General features: G+C 39.1%; 3 annotated features.

Moving 5' to 3' along the window:
* Nucleotides 3261–3762: an enhancer, noted in NCBI's record as "H3K4me1 hESC enhancer chr6:83260993-83261494 (GRCh37/hg19 assembly coordinates)". NCBI's record gives its function as "activates a minimal SCP1, AML or CMV promoter by ChIP-STARR-seq in naive H9 embryonic stem cells {active_cell/tissue: H9 hESC(naive)}" and the evidence as "EXISTENCE:reporter gene assay evidence [ECO:0000049][PMID:30033119]".
* Nucleotides 10038–10670: an enhancer, noted in NCBI's record as "H3K27ac-H3K4me1 hESC enhancer chr6:83267770-83268402 (GRCh37/hg19 assembly coordinates)". NCBI's record gives its function as "activates a minimal SCP1, AML or CMV promoter by ChIP-STARR-seq in naive H9 embryonic stem cells {active_cell/tissue: H9 hESC(naive)}" and the evidence as "EXISTENCE:reporter gene assay evidence [ECO:0000049][PMID:30033119]".
* Nucleotides 10671–11303: an enhancer, noted in NCBI's record as "H3K27ac-H3K4me1 hESC enhancer chr6:83268403-83269035 (GRCh37/hg19 assembly coordinates)". NCBI's record gives its function as "activates a minimal SCP1, AML or CMV promoter by ChIP-STARR-seq in naive H9 embryonic stem cells {active_cell/tissue: H9 hESC(naive)}" and the evidence as "EXISTENCE:reporter gene assay evidence [ECO:0000049][PMID:30033119]".

Consider the following 21268-nt stretch of genomic DNA (forward strand, 5'->3'; position numbering starts at 1 on the left):
AAATTGTCCCTGTTTGCAGATGAAATGATTGTATATCTAGAAAACCCCATTGTCTCAGCCCAAAATCTCCTTAAACTGATAGGCAACTTCAGCAAAGTCTCAGGATACAAAATCAATGTGCAAAAATCACAAGCATTCTTATACACCAACAACAGACAAACAGAGAGCCAAATCATGAGTGAATTCCCATTCACAATTGCTTCAAAGAGAATAAAGTACCTAGGAATCCAACTTAAAAGGGATGTGAAGAACCTCTTCAAGGAGAACTACAAACCACTGCTCAATGAAATAAAAGAGGATACAAACAAATGGAAGAACATTCCATGCTCATGGGTAGGAAGAATCAATATCGTGAAAATGACCACACTGCCCAAGGCAATTTAGAGATTCAATGCCATCGCCATCAAGCTACCAATGACTTTCTTCACAGAATTGGAAAAAATTACTTTAAAGTTCATATGGAACCAAAAAAGAGCCTGCATTGCCAAGTCAATCCTAAGCCAAAAGAACAAAGCTGGAGGCATCACGCTACCTGACTTCAAACTATACTACAAGACTACAGTAACCAAAACAGCATGGTACTGGTACCAAAACAGAGATATAGATCAATGGAACAGAACAGAGCCCTCAGAAATAATGCCGCTTATCTACAACTATCTGATCTTTGACAAACCTGACAGAAACAAGAAATGGGGAAAGGATTCCCTATTTAATAAATGGTGCTTGGAAAACTGGCTAGCCATATGTAGAAAGCTGAAACTGGATTCCTTCCTTATAACTTATACAAAAATTATTTCAAGATGGATTAAAGACTTACATTTATTTAGACCTAAAACCATAAAAACCCTTGAAGAAAACCTAGGCAATATGATTCAGGACATAGGCATGGGCAAGGACTTCATGTCTAAAACACCAAAAGCAATGGCAACAAAAGCCAAAATTGACAAATGGGATCTAATGAAACTGAAGAGCTTCTGCACAGCAAAAGAAACTACCATCAAAGTGAACAGGTGACCTACAGAATGGGAGAAAATTTTTGCAATCTACTCATCTGATAAAGGGCTAATATCCAGAATCTACAATGAACTCCAACAAATTTACAAGAAAAAAACAAACGACTCTATCAAAAAGTGGGCAAAGGATATGAACAGACACTTCTCAAAAGAAGACATTTATGCAGCCAAAAAACACATGAAAAAATGCTCATCATCACTGGCCATCAGAGAAATCCAAATCAAAACCACAATGAGATACCATCTCACACCAGTTAGAATGGCAATCATTAAAAAGTCAGGAAACAACAGGTGCTGGAGAGGATGTGAAGAAATAGGAACACTTTTACACTGTTGGTGGGACTGTAAACTAGTTCAACCATTGTGGAAGTCAGTGTGGTGATTCCTTAGGGATCTGGAACTAGAAATACCATTTGACTCAGCCATCCCATTACTGGGTATATACCCAAAGGAATAAAAATCATGGTGCTATAAAGACACATGCACATGTATGTTTACTGCAGCAATATTCACAATAGCAAAGACTTGGAACCAACCCAAATGTCCAACAATGATAGACTGGATCAAGAAAATGTGGCACATATACACCATGGAATACTATGCAGCCATAAAAAATGATGAGTTCATGTCCTTTGTAGGGACATGGATGAAGCTGGAAACCATCATTCTCAGCAAACTATCGCAAGGACAAAAAACCAAACACCACATGTTCTCACTCATAGGTGGGAATTGAACAGTGCGAACACATGGACACAGGAAGGGGAACATCACACACCAGGGCCTGTTGTGGGGTGGGAGAAGTGGGGAGGGATAGCATTAGGAGATATACCTAATGCTAAATGACCAGTTAATGGGTGCAGCACACCAACATGGCACATGTATACATATGTAACAATCCTGCATGTTGTGCACATGTACCCTAAGACTTAAAGTATTATAATTAAAAAAAAAAAAAGAGTGCTGAATATTGGCCCCTACTCTCTTCTGGCTTGTAGGGTTTCTGCAGAGAGACCTGCTGTTAGTCTGATGGTTTCCCTTTGTGGGTAACCCAGCCTTTCTCTCAGGCTGCCCTTAACATTTTTTCCTTGATTTCAACCTTGGTGAATCTGATGCTTATGTGTCTTGTGTTTGCTCTACTCGAGGAGTATCTTTGCGGTGTTCTCTGTATTTCCTGAATTTGAATGTTGGTCTGCCTTGCTAGGTTGAGGAAGTTCTCCTGGATAATCTCCTGAAGAGTGTTTTCCAACTTGGTTCCATTCTCCCCATCACTTTCAGGTACAGCAATCAAACATAGATTTGGTCTTTTCACATAGTCCCATATTTCTTGGAGGCTTTGTTCATTTCTTTTTACTCTTTTTTTTTTTTTTTTTTGAGACAGAGTCTCGCTTTGTTGCCCAGGCTAGAGTGCAGTTACGTGATCTTGGCTCACTGCCAGCTCCCCCTCCTGGGTTCATGCCATTCTTCTGCCTCAGCCTCCTGAGTAGCTGAGACTATAGGTGCCCACCACCACACCCGGCTAATTTTTTGTATTTTTAGTAGCGATGGGGTTTCACTGTGTTAGGCAGGATGGTCTTGATCTCCTGACCTCATGATCCTCCCGCCTCGGCCTCCCAAAGTGTTGGAATTACAGGTGTGAGCCACCGCACCCGGCCTTTACTCTTTTTTCTCTAAACTTGTCTTCTCGCTTTATTTCATTAATTTGGTCTTCAATCACTGATATCCTTTCTTCCACTTGATCGAATAGGCTACTGAAGCTTGTGCATGTGTCACGAAGTTCTCATGCCATGGTTTTCAGCTCCTTCAGGTCAGGTAAGGTCTTCTCTACACTGTTTATTCTAGTTAGCTATCCATCTAACCTTTTTTCAAGGTTTTTAGCTTCCTTGCAATGGGTTAGAACATGCTCCTTTAGCTCAGAGAAGTTTGTTATTACTGACCTTCTGAAGCCTACTTCTGTCAACTCGTCAAAGTCATTCTCCATCCCGCTTTGTTCTGTTGCTGGCGAGGAGCTGCAATCCTTTGGAGGAGGAGAGGCGCTCTGGTTTTTAGAATTTTCAGCTTTTCTGCTCTGGTTTCTCCCCATCTTTGTGGTTTTACCTACCTTTGGTCTTTGATGTTGGTAACCTACAGATGGGGTTTTGGAGTGGATGTCCTTTTTATTGATGTTGATGCTCTTCCTTTCTGTTTGTTACTTTTCCTTCTAACAGTCAGGTCCCTCAGCTGCAGGTCTGTTGGAGTTTGCTGGAGGTCTACTCCAGACCTTGTTGGCCTGGGTATCACCAATGCAGGCTGCAGAACAGCAAATATTGCATAACAGCAAATCTTGCTGCCTCAATCTTCCTCTGGAAGATTCATCCCAGAGGGGCACCTGCCTATATGAGGTGTTTGTTGGCCCCTGCTGGGAGGTGTCTCCCAGTTAGGCTACAGGGGGGTGAGAGACCCACTTGAGGAGGCAGTCTGTCCATTCTCAGAGCTGAAATGTCATGCTGGGAGAACCATTGTTCTCTTCAGAGCTGTCAGACAGGGATGTTTAAGTCTGCAGAAGTTTCTGCTGCCTTTTTTTCAGCTATGCCCTGCCCACAGAGGTGGAGTCTATAGAGGCAGTAGGCCTTGCTGAGCGGTGGTGGGGTCTGCCCAGTTCAAGCTTCCCAGCCGCTTTGTTTACCTACTCAAGCCTCAGCAATGGTGGATGCCCCTCTCCCCACCAGGCTGCAGCGTCGCAGGTTGATCTCAGACTGCTGTGCTAGCAGTGAGTAAGGCTCCGTGGGCATGGGTCCCACCGAGCCAGGCACAGGAGAGAATCTCTTGGTCTGCCAGTTGCTAAGACCATGGGAAAAGCACAGTATTTAGGCGGGAGTGTCCTGTTTTTCCAGGTAGTCTGTCACGGCTTCCCTTGGCTAGGAAAGGGAAATCCCCTGACCCCTTCTACTTCCCGGGTGAGGCCACACCCTGCCATGCTTCGGCTTGCCCTCTGTGGGCTGCACCCACTGTCCAACCAGTCCCAATCAGATGAATCAGGTACCTCAGTCAGAAGTGCAGAAATCGTCTGTCTTCTGTGTGGATCACGCTGGGAGCTGTAGACCGGAGCTGTTCCTATTCATCCATCTTGGATGACAGTTACAAGATATGTATTAATTACAACAGGAAAAATAGTAACTTTACAGTGGAGAAACTTGGTAGACACCAACTGAACTAAGTGATCATGGTTAGGGTCACTACTCATTATGTTATATTTGACAGAAAGTACCTCCTGAGATGATACACTGAGAAGAATACAGCACTACTTCTGTGGTATTCTTGAGAAAATTATATAACCTGAATTTAATCATGAGGAAATATCGAGCTGTTAACATTTTGAATTTAAACATGAGGAAATACGTAAGCTGTTAACATTTCGATAAGCTTGCTAAAGAATATATGGATACTTTCGGTACTATTTTTGCCACTTTTTTGGTAAATCTATTATTATTTCAAAATAAAAAAAATTTAAAAGGAATAAATGAGGACCAAAAATGATATTTTATAAATACATTAATGGCAACAAATACAGATGGTATCCGGGAGGTATAATATGAAAAGTTATTATGAGTTACTCCACATTTTAGTTTCAAATAGTCTATCAGTTATCAAAAGAGCAGATCTCTGAGAAAATTGGACACTGGATAAGTACATTTTGGCTTTGGTGAGGATAGGAAGGGACAAAAGTTTCAGTGTGCTTATCTCATCAGGGCTATACAATGGTAGACTTTGTAGCTTCAGGGGTGAGCAGGAGGACCCTGAAGGCAGGACAAAAAAGAGGAAAAATGCAAAAGAGAGAAGGGAAGAGAGAGCCCAGAATACAATTAGCCAGTGACCTGCTTATGGGAGTTAGCCAGCAAACACTAGGTCTTGCCCTATGTACAGATGAAGTTTTTCCACATCATTTAAAAATTATTTTAATTAGAAAATAACTCAACAACCATAAAATAATGAACACCTTCACATTCAAATGGTACTAGTTGCAAGTGGCCACCACCTGTTAATTACGGGATTTAGAGAGAGCAGTTTCTCCAATTATTTGCATACTTTTCAATTCAACAAATATGTGTAAGTGTCTAACTATGGGTCAAGCTAGTGCTCCATCTGCATTGCTTTTGATATATCTATAGTACTAGTTATTAATCATTAATACATAATACATAATATACATAATACATAATACATAATAATACAGAGTGAACTGTAACCTAATTTGATGCGTAAGCAAACTGCAACCTACTCTTACAGCCAAATCTAATAGCCAAATCTCAGCTAACCACAGGCAGCCAACTGCTCAAAGCAGGTTTGCTAAGGCAAACTCCAAGCCGTAACCAATCCAGCTGTTTCTGTTCCTCCCTTTTGTTTCCTGCACATCACTTTCCTTTTTCCGTTCATAAATGTTATCTGACCATGCAGCAGCCCTGGAGTCACTCTGAACCTATTCTGGTTCTGGGAACTGTCTGATTTGTGAATTATTCTTTGCTCATTTAAACTCTGTTAAATTTATCTAAAGTTTTTCTTTTAACTGAATAAATGACACTTTCTTCTAATGAGGTAAAAATACTGCTGGCATAATTATTTCTAACACAGATTTGAAATCTAGATATAAAAAGGGGCATCTTGCATTCTCAAAAAAGTTAATAACTATAAATAATAATAGCCACTATTTATTGAGCACTTACTATGTGCCAGGTACTCACCATGTGCTTTTCATGCAGTATCTCATGTAATGTTTGTTAAACAGTATTGTTGTGCTGTTTAGAGATTAGGAAATGGAGATAGAGTTCAAGTAACTGCCCATCAAATAACCCCAAATCTGTTTTAACATCAGAGTCCTCAAATATAGTCATCATGCCAAATCTTTCAAGCCCACAGCAGGGTTCTCTCCAATGCTATTGCTTTATTTCACCACCCACTGTTGTCTTATGACCATCACATAACAAGAGTAACTCCAGACTCAAAGTATCCTGCCAGCAGAAGAGCAGGATATAGTTATTTTCCTTATCTGGATGGCTTACTTCTCTTTGTGATCTTATTTTGCACTTTATACATTCCAGAACTCAGTTCATTCGCTGCATTCTTTATGGGAAAAGACAGAACATAATGGGAAAAAGCATTTCTAAGATTCTACTAAAAGATTTCTGAAACTGAAACAGATTATGTCTTTTAGCAGAAGGCTTATCTTTAAAGTTTTGTTATTATCAACCTTTAACCAGTCTCCAGATTTATAATTGCTCTATCTATAATCTAAGGAATCCCTACAGTGCTGGATTCTCAAAAGGTGAAAGTTCTAATCACCCAGGGGTCAGGGAAGACTTCAAGGAATTTAGTTTCTTTTCTCATTTCTGCCCCTTTGGCAATTCCCTTCACCTCTCCAATCTTTCTCTCCTTTGTCACTTTCTGGGATACATGAGATCTGCCAAAGAGAAGTCGAGTTACTCTATCCAGAGCCATTTTCTTTATTCACAGATTGCAGAGGAGAAATTCAAAGTTGAAAATTGTTCAGGCCCAAGAAAAATACATAAACAAGCAGCCAGTGTAGACACCAGAGGGAAAAAAAATGCTACACTTGGAAGAACTCCTTAATACCTTATTCGATAAAAATCTCCTGCCCTCCCAAACTATTCCTTTAAAACAAATGAGCCCACTCATTCCTAAATGGTGATGCTGTGGTGACCCTATACCATAGCTTTCAACCCCCAGCTGTGTAGCCAGTCTCTATTAAACCATGCCTAGTATGTGCTCCCCAAGGGAATGTCCAGATTTTCTAGAAAAACAACAGTGGCTCTAGAACCTGAGGAGCTCTTCTAAAGATGGCAATGAGGCAACTTAAGTGCTACCAAAAGAATTCCTCATTGGCCAGGCTCCATGGGGAAACATCTGAGATCTAAACACTTAAGCCATGTGGCTGTCATATGTCTTCTATGTTTTTCAGGCCACTCAGATCCCAAATCGCAAGAAGTTGAAAAACATGGGATTTTCATGTAAATTCTGTACAATTACTCATAGGTGATGTTCTGCCACACATACTTGTAGGTGTGACATAAATCTGGACTTAGGAAATATGGTTTTTAAGAGCCTGTCATTGCTGTGGATTTAGTTTTAGGGAGCTATGAAGAAACTTTAGGCTGACCCTGACAGAGTGGAAGGAACAAAAGAAGACAGCAGAGGGTATGAGAGAATCGGAGGAAGAAAAAAATTAGGAGGCAGAACAAAAGAGAAAAAAGTGAGAAGGAAGAGATGTTCAAGCCATATGTTTCTTATGGTGCGAAGGCATACATGAGGTGGAAAAGATTCCAGAAGAATTTTGCTATAAATGTAAAAATAGAATTGCCCATTTCTGGGTTAAGAATACATTTCTTCCAGGAAGAGTGTTGTGTGTTTTGTTTTATTCTTAACCTGAGTCCCTTGACCCTTAAGTGGCTCATTGTATAAGCTGTGCGGAGTTCATGAATCCCTTGAAATTACCTACAATATGTGGCATGTTCAACTCTATGCATGTGTGGCAGTCTGGTTATATCAGTTTTTCAAATAGTTTTTTTTTCTTTTGCCCAAAGGAAGTTAAAACCAGGGCACAAAAAGGAATTTATTTGTAGTTTACCTTGGATCACCAACTGAAGTTCTGAGTTCACTTAACTGTGAAAGGATTCATTACTCTATTCCTGAGAAAATTAATCCACGAATCTCAGACCTAGAAAAAATTGAAATGCTATGTGTCCCATTTATTTGCTTTCAGAAAGAACTATGGCCTAAAATAAGTGAAAATATATTCATTTTTCAACCTCTGCAGAGCAGATTGCCAAACCTTTTTTGGTAGCCTATTCATCTGTCACATTTCTCACCATAAGGAAGTTCTTCTTTATGTCAAGCCTAACTCCCTCATGCTGCAAAATAATTTGGTCTCATATGTTTAACAATGCAGCATTTTTGGACACTGTTATTATATCCATCCTCAGCTTTCTCCCAGTACTTCTGACTCTTCCATGAGTCATTCTCAAAACTATAAATCATCTTCACTGGCTTTCCTTTGAATTATTTCCCTTTTACGCTTTTCTCTAAATTCAGAAGTGAGGATACTGGAAAGAGATTGATAAAGCCCTCAGTTGATTGGTAGACTTCCCTATGGTCATTGGCTTACCACAGCCTATATGACATATAATAGTAAGTTGCCAGAAATAAGAACTATAGGATTGCCCTATGAGAGTGAAATTATAAAATTAATATAAAACATCCCAGATTAAGACAGATTTAATGGGAAAAAAATCCAGAACCAACAGGATGGTCATTTGATTAAAGATCACATACTATGAGAAAGATGGTGTTGCTCAGAAGAGGTGTTGATCAACCAGGAAAGCTTGAAAAGGGAGAATCACAGAGTTAGATCTTGGCAATGCCCACCCAAACAATATCCAGGGAAGAGGGTGTTGGTCAGGTTATTCTGACACTTGGCCACGATGGTCTCCTTGTGGAGATTGCTATAGTAGCTCTGAAATCTTGCTGTCATTACACCAACCATGGAACCCACTGGGGATTTGGCTGTCCTTGTCACTTGCCTATAGGAAGCAGAGGTGCTATTCAGACCAACATGACTTTCTGGTCTCTGGCAGTTATATTTTTCATAGAAAGTTAACAAATTGGTATTCTGTTAGCACCCAATTTGTGTCAGCCTGCTCTATATTTAATCAACTATATCATCAAAGAAAACAAATTTCTGCATCTGTAAGACAGAGTTAGACCCAGGGCAGAGGTGAATGCCACCTCCTAGAGCCTTATCATTGCTTCCTCCCTGGATGCTTTATTCAAACTTGAGTTCTTCGTACTTTTCTTTAGGCAAAAGGAAGGCTGAACAATTCCTAAAGTTTCCAGAAGTTCTAAGACTCTGTTTTCATAATATCACCAAATAGTTTCTTTTTTTTTAACACATTTAGTCAGTCCATTTTTATTTATATGTGTGCAATTTTGCATTTCTCCCACATGACTGTGCTTTATAAAAATCTAGCATTTTGTATATGCTTAATTTTTGATTCTAATCCTAATTCCAGTTCAACATGTTGGCCACTCAATCTCTCATTTTACTGTCTAGCTTGTTGTCATGGGAAAATAAATGAATAAATGAGAATGGTCTCCTTTATATCATTTGTCAACAGAAGATTGATAATATTCTTCGGTGTGGTCTGCATGGGGAAGCCAAAGTCTGATTTGTTTGAGGTGACAAGTAGTAGTCACTCTTTGGAGACTGCTGGATGGTCTGTTGTTAACCTGACATCATGCATTCCCTCCTATGTGATGTAGATGTGTAGGGAAATCCATTGCATAGAATGTTCTTTTTTGTGTGATTGCATATTAGAATTTGCCAGTGAAAACAATTGATGCAAGATTGGGAAGGCAGAGGGAAGAGAAGCCATTATGCCCAAGAACAATTGTTGCGGAGGCCAAACGTGTTGGTAAACAGGTTCCTTAGGCTTCTTCAGAGTGCCTGCTTTGCTGCTTCAGACTGCTCTGTTGGTGGAAGCTTTTCTAGAGAGTATTGGGAATTTCATCCATTTCCCCCCAAAATTTAGAGGACATACATTTTAGGTTAAGGTAACTGTTTCCCTAGCCTCTAACCTATACAGCCTCCCTAACCCTCACTCCTCAGCTCTGTCCATATCCCAGAGGCCCTAATTCCTCTGTGAAACCCCTTTAATCCTATCACACATGTCAAAGCCCAACTAATTCAGATACCAGGTAATGATGTACCTATATTTTTCCAGGTTTCTGAAGAAGTTATATGTGACAAATTCAAAAGTCTTGCAAAGTCAGGAAAGATTATATCTATTATTTTGCATTGTACCCTAGCCAGATATTTTGTTATAAAAGTTTAAACCAACAGGACTTTTTCTTTACAAATCAATGATGATAATTCCTTATATTTCAGTCCTCTTCAGGGTGCTTATTAACTGATTTTGGTATCCCTCTGAATCATACACTTTGTGATATGATTTTTATTAGCCTTGCTCTACTCCACAATCAAATACGAGAAAACTTACCTGGAGGTTAAATCCTGAAGGGAAGGTAAACATAAAGTCTATTGGTTATGATATCAAATGTTTACTTGAGTAAAAGAAAATGTTTTTTATTGAACTTTAGCATTTTCTTCCTAACATTGGCAGGTTTATACATTAATATTAGCTTCTAAACAGGTATCCAACTCAGAACTCTTCATTGATGGTCCATCCCTAGCGAAGTGTCCTTAACTCATTGGCTCTGAAGAAGAAAAAGGAATATGACACTAGCAGGCATCATGTGCATTTAAACAAAGTCACCCTTAAAGAAATGCTGTAACTCATACATGCAACTTAAAAGCAGTCACCGGAGATCGAGGAGCCAAGATGGCCGAATAGGAACAGCTCCGGTCTACAGCTCCCAGCGTGAGCGACGCAGAAGACGGGTGATTTCTGCATTTCCATCTGAGGTACCGGGTTCATCTCACTAGGGAGTGCCAGACAGTGGGGGCAGGTCACTGGGTGCATGCACCGTGCGCGAGCCGAAGCAGGGCGAGGCATTGCCTCACTTGGGAAGCGCAAGGGGTCAGGGAGTTCCCTTTCTGAGTCAAAGAAAGGGGTGACGGATGGCACATGGAAAATCGGGTCACTCCTACCCGAATACTGCGCTTTTCCGACCGGCTTAAAAAACGGTGCACCACGAGATTATATCCCACACCTGGCTCGGAGGGTCCTGCGCCCACAGAGTCTCGCTGATTGCTAGCACAGCAGTCTGAGATCAAACTGCAAGGCGGCAGCGAGGCTGGGGGAGGGGCGCCTGCCATTGCCCAGGCTTGCTTAGGTAAACAAAGCAACCTGGAAGCTCCAACTGGGTGGAGCCCACCACAGCTCAAGGAGGCCTGCCTGCCCCTGTAGGCTCCACCTCTGGGGGCAGGGCACAGACAAACAAAAAGACAGCAGTAACCTCTGCAGACTTAAATGTCCCTGTCTGACAGCTTTGAAGAGAGCAGTGGTTCTCCCAGCACGCAGCTCGAGATCTGAGAACGGGCAGACTGCCTCCTCAAGTGGGTCCCTGACCCCTGATCCCCGAGCAGCCTAACTGGGAGGCACCCCCCAGCAGGGGCACACTGACACCTCACACGGCAGGGTACTCCAACAGACCTGCAGCTGAGGTTCCTCTCTGTTAGAAGGAAAACTAACAAACAGGACATCCACACCAAAAACCCATCTGTACATCACCATCATCAAAGACCAAAAGTAGATAAAACCACAAAGATGGGGAAAAAACAGAACAGAAAAACTGGAAACTCTAAAAAGCAGAGCACCTCTCCTCCTCCAAAGGAACGCAGTTCCTCACCAGCAACGGAAAAAAGCTGGATGGAGAATGACTTTGACGAGCTGAGAGAAGAAGGCTTCAGACGATCAAATTACTCTGAGCTACGGGAGGACATTCAAACCAAAGGCAAAGAAGTTGAAAACTTTGAAAGAAATTTAGAAGAATGTATAACTAGAATAACCAATACAGAGAAGTGCTTAAAGGAGCTGATGGAGCTGAAAACCAAGGCTCGAGAACTATGTGAAGAATGCAGAAGCCTCAGGAGCCGATGCGATCAACTGGAAGAAAGGGTATCGGCAATGGAAGATGAAATGAATGAAATGAAGCGAGAAGGGAAGTTTAGAGAAAAAAGAATAAAAAGAAATGAGCAAAGCCTCCAAGAAATATGGGACTATGTGAAAAGACCAAATCTACGTCTGATTGGTGTACCTGAAAGTGATGGGGAGAATGGAACCGAGTTGGAAAACACTCTACAGGATATTATCCAGGAGAACTTCCCCAATCTAGCAAGGCAGGACAACATTCAGATGCAGGAAATACAGAGAATGCCACAAAGATACTCCTCGAGAAGAGCAACTCCAAGACACATAATTGTCAGATTCACCAAAGTTGAAATGAAGGAAAAAATGTTAAGGGCAGCCAGAGAGAAATGTCGGGTTACCCTCAAAGGGAAGCCCATCAGACTAACAGCGGATCTCTCGGCAGAAACCCTACAAGCCAGAAGAGAGTGGGGGCCAATATTCAACATTCTTAAAGAAAAGAATTTTCAACCCAGAATTTCATATCCAGCCAAAGTAAGCTTCATAAGCGAAGGAGAAATAAAATCCTTTACAGACAAGCAAATGCTGAGAGATTTTGTCACCACCAGGCCTGCCTTACAAGAGCTCCTGAAGGAAGCACTAAACATGGAAAGGAACAACCGGTACCAGCCGCTGCAAAATCATGCCAAAATGTAAAGACCATCGAGACTAGGAAGAAACTGCATCAACTAATGAGCAAAATAACCAGCTAACATCATAATGACAGGAGCAAATTCACACATAACAATATTAACTTTAAATGTAAATGGACTAAATGCTCCAATTAAAAGACACAGACTGGCAAATTGGATAAAGAGTCAAGACCCATCAGTGTGCTGTATTCAGGAAACCCATCTCACGTGCAGAGACACACATAGGCTCAAAATAAAAGGATGGAGGAAGATCTACCAAGCAAATGGAAAACAAAAAAAGGCAGGGGTTGCAATCCTAGTCTCTGATAAAACAGACTTTAAACCAACAAAGATCAAAAGAGACAAAGAAGGCCATTACATAATGGTAAAGGGATCAATTCAACAAGAAGAGCTAACTATCCTAAATATATATGCACCCAATAAAGGAGCACCAAGATTCATAAAGCAAGTCCTGAGTGACCTACAAAGAGACTTAGACTCCCACACATTAATAATGGGAGACTTTAACACCCCACTGTCAACATTAGACAGATCAACGAGACAGAAAGTCAACAAGGATACCCAGGAATTGAACTCAGCTCTGCACCAAGCGGACCTAATAGACATCTACAGAACTCTCCACCCCAAATCAACAGAATATACATTTTTTTCAGCACCACACCACACCTATTCCAAAATTGACCACATACTGGGAAGTAAAGCTCTCCTCAGCAAATGTAAAAGAACAGAAATTATAACAAACTATCTCTCAGACCACAGTGCAATCAAACTAGAACTCAGGATTAAGAATCTCACTCAAAACCGCTCAACTACATGGAAACTGAACAACCTGCTCCTGAATGACTACTGGGTACATAACGAAATGAAGGCAGACATAAAGATGTTCTTTGAAACCAATGAGAACAAAGACAAAATATACCAGAGTCTCTGGGACGCATTCAAAGCAGTGTGTAGAGGGAAATTTATAGCACTAAATGCCCACAAGGGAAAGCAGGAAAGATCCAAAATTGACACCCTAACATCACAATTAAAAGAAATAGAAAAGCAAGAGCAAACACATTCAAAAGCTAGCAGAAGGCAAGAAATAACTAAAATCAGAGCAGAACTGAAGGAAATAGGGACACAAAAAACCCTTCAAAAAATTAATGAATCCAGGAGCTGGTTTTTTGAAAGGATCAACAAAATTGATAGACTGCTAGCAAGACTAATAAAGAAAAAAAGAGAGAAGAATCAAATAGACACAATAAAAAATGATAAAGGGGATGTCACCACCGATCCCACAGAAATACAAACTACCATCAGAGAATACTACAGACACCTCTACGCAAATAAACTAGAAAATCTAGAAGAAATGGATAAATTCCTCGACACATACACTCTCCCAAGACTAAACCAGGGAGAAGTTGAATCTCTGAATAGACCAATAACAGGAGCTGAAATTGTGGCAATAATCAATAGCTTACCAACGAAAAAGAGTCCAGGACCAGATGGATTCACAGCCGAATTCTACCAGAGGTACAAGGAGGAACTGGTACCATTCCTTCTGAAACTATTCCAATAAATAGAAAAAGAGGGAATCCTCCCTAACTCATTTTATGAGGCCAGCATCATTCTGATACCAAAGACAGGCAGAGACACAACAAAAAAAGAGAATTTTAGACCAATATCCTTGATGAACATTGATGCAAAAATCCTCAATAAAATACTGGCAAAACAAATCCTGCAGCACATCAAAAAGCTTATCCACCATGATCAAGTGGGCTTCATCCCTGGGATACAAGGCTGGTTCAATATACACAAATCAATAAATGTAATCCAGCATATAAACAGAGCCAAAGACAAAAACCACATGATTATCTCAATAGATGCAGAAAAAGCCTTTGACAAAATTCAACAATCCTTCATGCTAAAAACTCTCAATAAATTAGGTATTGATGGGACGTATCTCAAAATAATAAGAGCTATCTATGACAAACCCACAGCCAATATCATACTGGATGGGCAAAAACTGGAAGCATTCTCTTTGAAAACTGGCACAAGACAGGGATGCCCTCTCTCACCACTCCTATTCAACATAGTGTTGGAAGTTCTGGCCAGGGCAATTAGGCAGGAGAAGGAAATAAAGGGTATTCAATTAGGAAAAGAGGAAGTCAAATTGTCCCTGTTTGCAGACAACATGATTGTATATCTAGAAAACCCCATTGTCTCAGCCCAAAATCTCCTTAAGCTGATAAGCAACTTCAGCAAAGTCTCAGGATACAAAATCAATGTACAAAAATCACAAGCATTCTTATACACCAACAACAGACCAACAGAGAGCCAAATCATGAGTGAACTCCCATTCACAATTGTTTCAAAGAGAATAAAATACCTAGGAATCCTACTTACAAGGGATGTGAAGGACTTCTTCAAGGAGAACTACAAACCACTGCTCAAGGAAATAAAAGAGGATACAAACAAATGGAAGAACATTCCATGCTCATGGGTTGGAAGAATCAATATCGTGAAAATGGCCATACTGCCCAAGGTAATTTAGAGATTCAATGCCATCCCCATCAAGCTACCAATGACTTTCTTCACAGAATTGGAAAAAATTACTTTAAAGTTCATATGGAACCAAAAAAGAGCCCGCACCGCCAAGTCAGTCCTAAGCCAAAAGAACAAAGCTGGAGGCATCACACTACCTGACTTCAAACTATACTACAAGGCTACAGTAACCAAAACAGCATGGTACTGGTACCAAAACAGAGATATAGATCAATGGAACAGAACAGAGCCCTCAGAAATAATGCTGCATATCTACAACTATGTGATCTTTGATAAACCTGAGAAAAACAAGCAATGGGGAAAGTATTCCCTATTTAATAAATGGTGCTGGGAAAACTGGCTAGCCATATGTAGAAAGCTGAAACTGGATCCCTTCCTTACACCTTATACAAAAATCAATTCAAGATGGATTAAAGACTTAAACATTAGACCTAAAACCATAAAGACCCTAGAAGAAAACCTAGGCCATTCAGGACATAGGCATGGGCAAGGACTTCATGTCTAAAACACCAAAAGCAATGGCAACAAAAGTCAAAATTGACAAATGGGATCTCATTAAACTAAAGAGCTTCTGCACAGCAAAAGAAACTACCATCAGAGTGAACAGGCAACCTACAAAATGGGAGAAAATTTTCGCACCCTACTCATCTGACAAAGGGCTAATATCCAGAATCTACAATGAACTCAAACAAATTTACAAGAAAAAAACAAACAACCCCATCAAAAAGTGGGTGAAGGACATGAACAGACACTTCTCAAAAGAAGACATTTATGCAGCCAAAAAACACATGAAAAAATGCTCATCATCACTGGCCATCAGAGAAATGCAAATCAAAACCACAATGAGATACCATCTCACACCAGTTAGAATGGCAATCATTAAAAAGTCAGGAAACAACAGGTGCTGGAGAGGATGTGGAGAAATAGGAACACTTTTACACTGTTGGTGGGACTGTAAACTAGTTCAACCATTGTGGAAGTCAGTGTGGCGATTCCTCAGGGATCTAGAACTGGAAATACCATTTGACCCAGCTATCCCATTATTGGGTATATATCCAAAGGACTATAAATCATGCTGCTATAAAGACACATGCACACGTATGTTTATTGTGGCATTATTCACAATAGCAAAGACTTGGAACCAACCCAAATGTCCAACAATGATAGACTGGATTAAGAAAATGTGGCATATATACACCATGGAATACTATGCAGCCATAAAAAATGATGAGTTCATGTCCTTTGTAGGGACATGGATGAAATTGGAAATCATCATTCTCAGTAAACTATCGCAAGAACAAAAAACCAAACACTGCATATTCTCACTCGTAGGTGGGAATTGAACAATGAGATCACATGAACACAGGAAGGGGAATATCACACTCTGGGGACTGTTGTGGGGTGGGGGGAGGGGGGAGGGATAGCATCGGGAGATATACCTAATGCTAGATGACGAGTTAGTGGGTGCAGCGCACCAGCATGGCACATGTATACATATGTAACTAACCTGCACAATGTGCACATGTACCCTAAAACTTAAAGTATAATAAAAAATAAAAAATAAAAAAATAAAATAGCATCAAATAAAGAAATAATAATTAATTTGGAAAATGTGATACAAGAGTTTACTCTGAAAATTAAAAATTATTGTTTAAAGAATATGTAAATAATTAGCAAACATCTTACAGCCATGAATTGGAAGATTTAATATTGTAGTACTTTACAATTTGAACTACAGATTTGATGAAATCCCTGCAAGTATCCCAACCGACTTCTGTCTAGAAACTGACAAGCTGATTCTAAAATACACATGGAATTGTAAGGGACTCAAAATAGCCAAAATAATCTTGAAAAAAGAAACCATATTAGGATAATTCACACCCCCATGCTCCAAACCTTACTGCAAAGTATCAGTAATCAAGACAACACAATACTGATGAAGGAAAAATATATAGATTGATGGAAGAGAATTGAGAGTCCATATATAAAACTATGTGTCTATAGTCAATGGATTCTTACAGTGGTGCCATGTGCAATTCAATGAGGAAGAGACAGTCTTTGAACAAACTGGGTCAACAACGTACACGTGGATCACCACTTGCAAAATAATAAATTCGAACCCTTACCCCAAAGCATACAAAAATATTAACTCCAATGAATTAAAGACACACATGCAAGAGCTAGAATAAAGCATATGGGAAAATCTTCAGGATTTTGGATCTAGCAAAGAAATAGCTGTAACACCAAAAACATGAGCAACAAAATAAAAATTAGATATTTAAAATTTCTTAAAAATTAAAGACATTGGTGTTTCAAAGGACAACCAAGCAAGTCAAAAGGCAGCTCAAAAATTGTGAGAAGATATTTGAAAAACACGTATCTATATGTCTGTATATATATGTATCTTGAATATAGAAAAACTGTTTTAACTCAGTAACAAATATCCCAACTCAAAACTGATAAATGATAGGAATAGATGTGTTTCCCAAGAAGATACACGAACGGTCAATAATCCCATAAAAAGATACTCAATAGCATCACTCATCAGGCAACTACAAATCAAAACCACAGTTAGATACTCTATGGCAAGATTTGGCCACTTTGGAAAATAATTTGATGGCTTCTAAATATATTAAACATAGAATTATAAAAATAAATAAATAAATAAATAAATAAAAATAAAAGCAGTCACCAAAATGTCTTAAGTGAATAAAACATTAAGATTTTCATGAGACATGGAGCTGGTTCCAAAGAATAGACCATCATTACTCTTCCTCTCTATCAAGAAATTAGTTAACTAGCACAGAGGGAGAACATAATTAAGAGCACTTCCATTACCCAGGGTCTGATGGGCTTCATCTGCAATAACAATTTGGAGACGTTTGCCAAGCAATCCACATACTTCTAACCAGTGACATGCCCAGTATATTTGATACTCAGAGAAGATCATTTTTCAGTAACCTCTTCCTCTGTATGACAAAATTATTTTCAGCAAGAACTATCATATGAAACTAAAATAATGTCCTGGAAAAAATACAAGGAAAATTTTTCTTTATTAAACTTAATATACATAATAATATAATAAATACATAAATAAATGTTACAGTACTAAAAAAGAAAAAGTATTGGATTACTTTCTCAATGTTCTTGACTTAAAATAAAAGGAAAATGTACTTATGTATTGGTTTGTTATAGCAATGAATAGTTAACATTATAATTTCTCTTTTTGAGTCTTAGCTTCCACTAATTTTAAAATTCTAAGTATAAATAACTCCAAGTGGTCACATAAAATGATGGAATTAAAATAACTCAACCTCCATTTAATTATACCTACAATTCCTATTTAAAATCCACATTTTTGACACAGGAATATGTAACGTTACAAACTGTGGCCAAGAAAGCTCCAATGATTCCAAACTATTACAAACTTTCTCTTGAAACAAATATATTGTGGCTGAGTCCCACATGTCAGGGGCCAACTTCACATATGGAAATTCTCTAATTAACTTGCATATGAAATACAATATTCATTAAAAAATAAGTTTTTTAAAATGAGCTAATTTCAAGTACATATATATATATGTAATTAAAACACAACAGTAATTTCTCTACTTATTAAATCTTAAGCCAACAAAATATTTTTTTCAGGGAAGAGTATTTTTCCCACTGAGAATATTTAGACTTGTGGGCCACATTGATAACAAAAATGGACCAACTCTTAATTGGTTTTATTATTGTTTTTACCTTCTTTATAGACAATGTACCCCCTTATTGCCTGTATCTCAGGTAGATTGATCCCAATGACTCAACTTTCAGTATGCTACTTCCTCCAACTTGATGAAGTTGGATTGCAGTCTTGATGGATCATATTCTTCTTACAGTAATTTAAAATAATCCCTTTACTTTCAACCATAGATCAAATACAGTTATCTACTTTTTCCACAGAAGTCTACTGCACAAACTTTCTTTACCCAGGACCTATATTCGCAAAATTCTCAGAACAAACCCTGAATGCTTGACCTGGGATGGCCAACTCAGTAAGATCTCTATTTAGAGAGTCTTGCTTCTATCTCATTCATTTCTCTCCCTGCCAAGGTTATGTCAGTGAATGACTTCCCCAAAGGTATCCTTCCTCTTGTTTCATGATATCACTGAACCTAACATGCAAAGGCTCAAGCCTTCATTGTGTCTGCTTGCTCTCAACATAGTACATTTTCCTTCCAAAGGAGATACATGGGGGTCAAGTTTGTTCTTTGTTGCCTCTTTCTAAAGACATGCCATGCTTTCTTATATCTTAGTATTATTTCATCTTCTTTATTTCTTTATATACTTCCTATGGACTTATGAGACATCATTAAATAGTTTTTAATGATGAAGTAATGATACTTTAATGATAAAGTAATTTCCCACTTTTCATTCCTGATGTTCTTGGGCCATATTTTTGCCTTTAGGAAAATTTTAGACTGTAATGTGTTCTGGCTGAGAAAAAGAACCTTAAGCCTTTTTTTTTTTTTTTTTTTTTTTTTTTGCCTTTCTGTTACCTAGATGTCTTTTCAAGTAAAAGTATTTAGCAATTAAAACAGTTTTGTGGCCATGAAATGTTAAGCTCATCCAAGTCCATGCAGGCTTCAATTCACTGATTTATTGTTTGTTGTAAGTACAATTTATTTAGATGTATGACTTATTATTTGTGTAAACATCTATTATATAAACATGTATTGTGCAAATATATTATTAGAGCTTCAAATGTGTCAGAAATTTGCTAGGTGTTGAAGATAGAGTAATGAACAAGGCAGGAAATTATTTCTGGCTTCATGTAGCTAACAATCTATAAGTGACTTAATGTTACACTCTTTATTTACTTAAAGAATTACTCAACTCCTGAAGTGATCTCAGGAAGCACATCTGCAAAGCCTCTCATAAAAGACTGTGGTTCAGCCAAAGATTTCATGATCTATAAGTGCATTCAGTTAGAACACAGGGTGACTGGAGGCAATATTCCATAACAATTAAGATTTCAGGTTACAGAGCCAGGCAGTCCTGGGTCAAATTTTGGCTTTCTTCACTGGGTGGCAGTAAACCTTGGCAATCCAATGGACTTCTCTGTCCTTTACTTTTCCCAGGGTCAAACGAGATTAAAAAATAGTACATATCTAATAGGGTTGTGAGGACTAAAATAAAATATACGGGCTTAGAACAACACTTAGCACATAGTAAATGATTGATAAAGTCAGCCATTATTATTATTAATTTTCATTAGTATTTTCTACTTAAATATTTAAGTAAAACACTCAGTAGCTGAAAATGAGAAACAAAATGTAAGACCCTTGAGCCTTTAAAGTTCAAAATCAATGTGCTAATACTTTGGAGTTGTATTGGATGTTGGAGTAGTTTATAAATGTATCAGTCAGAATCCAGGCAGGAAAACAGAACCCATGCTACGTATTTCAAATAGAGAGGATTCCCCACAAAGGTATTGACAGGGTTAGAAGGGGAAAAGGAAGGAGTGGGGGTATCTGGAGATCAGGAAGCTGCTGATGTGCCCTCAGCTGGTGCCCACTGGGTTGCACCTGCTGCCTTGCCGCTGAAGACGCTGACACTGTCAGTACTGAAACCACTGTGACTGGGGCCGAAAATACCCTGGTCTGTTGCCAGGACTGGACTACTTGCAAGGATGTGCTGCTGGGGAAACTACCATCACCCTTCTGCCACTCTCAGAAAGTACCAGCAACTGTTAGTCCCTGCCATGGAGTGGGAGCCAGAAACGGAAATCTTTCTTCTTTCTGCCTTCTGGTCTCCCACCAGGGTCTCCCACCAGGGTCTCCCACCAGTGTCTCCCACTAAAAAAAACCTAATGGGAAGGCAGCTGGCAAGGGAGCCTGGGAAATGTAGATTTCAGACTACCAGTCCCAGTTGCACAAAACAAATAGAGAATGGCAGATATGGAGCCGAGGGACAATAGGTAAATAACACAGAAAATAAAACATACTCAGATCCATCATCAAATCAAAGGTAAAGAGTCATCAAGATAATTTAAGCAACTTGAAGTTGGAAGATAAAACTACTTACATTTTCTTTTCTGCCCACTTTTGATTGCTTTAGCATTTGATTTTGTTTTAGCTATGTTTCATATTTATCCTGGCACAAACTCCACCATAGAATTTATTAGAGGTTTTACACCCTGATTTTTTTTAAAGAGGTTAAAAAATATTTTAAAATGAAAGAATTCTAACATTCAGAACAGAATTTTAAAATGCCACTTTATCCTTCCTACTAATCAATGCTGCCAGATTGCTGTTTTGGTAATGCGCACTGCAGAGATGTTGGTATTATCTTACTCTCTGGGTCACAAGCAGGGTGTGGGAGCTTCTGAATAGCTTCCCTAGCAAATAAAAACCATGCCAAGAAACTAGTAATGGGT

Source organism: Homo sapiens, chromosome 6, assembly GCF_000001405.40.
Source record: "Homo sapiens chromosome 6, GRCh38.p14 Primary Assembly".
Taxonomy (NCBI): domain Eukaryota; kingdom Metazoa; phylum Chordata; class Mammalia; order Primates; family Hominidae; genus Homo; species Homo sapiens.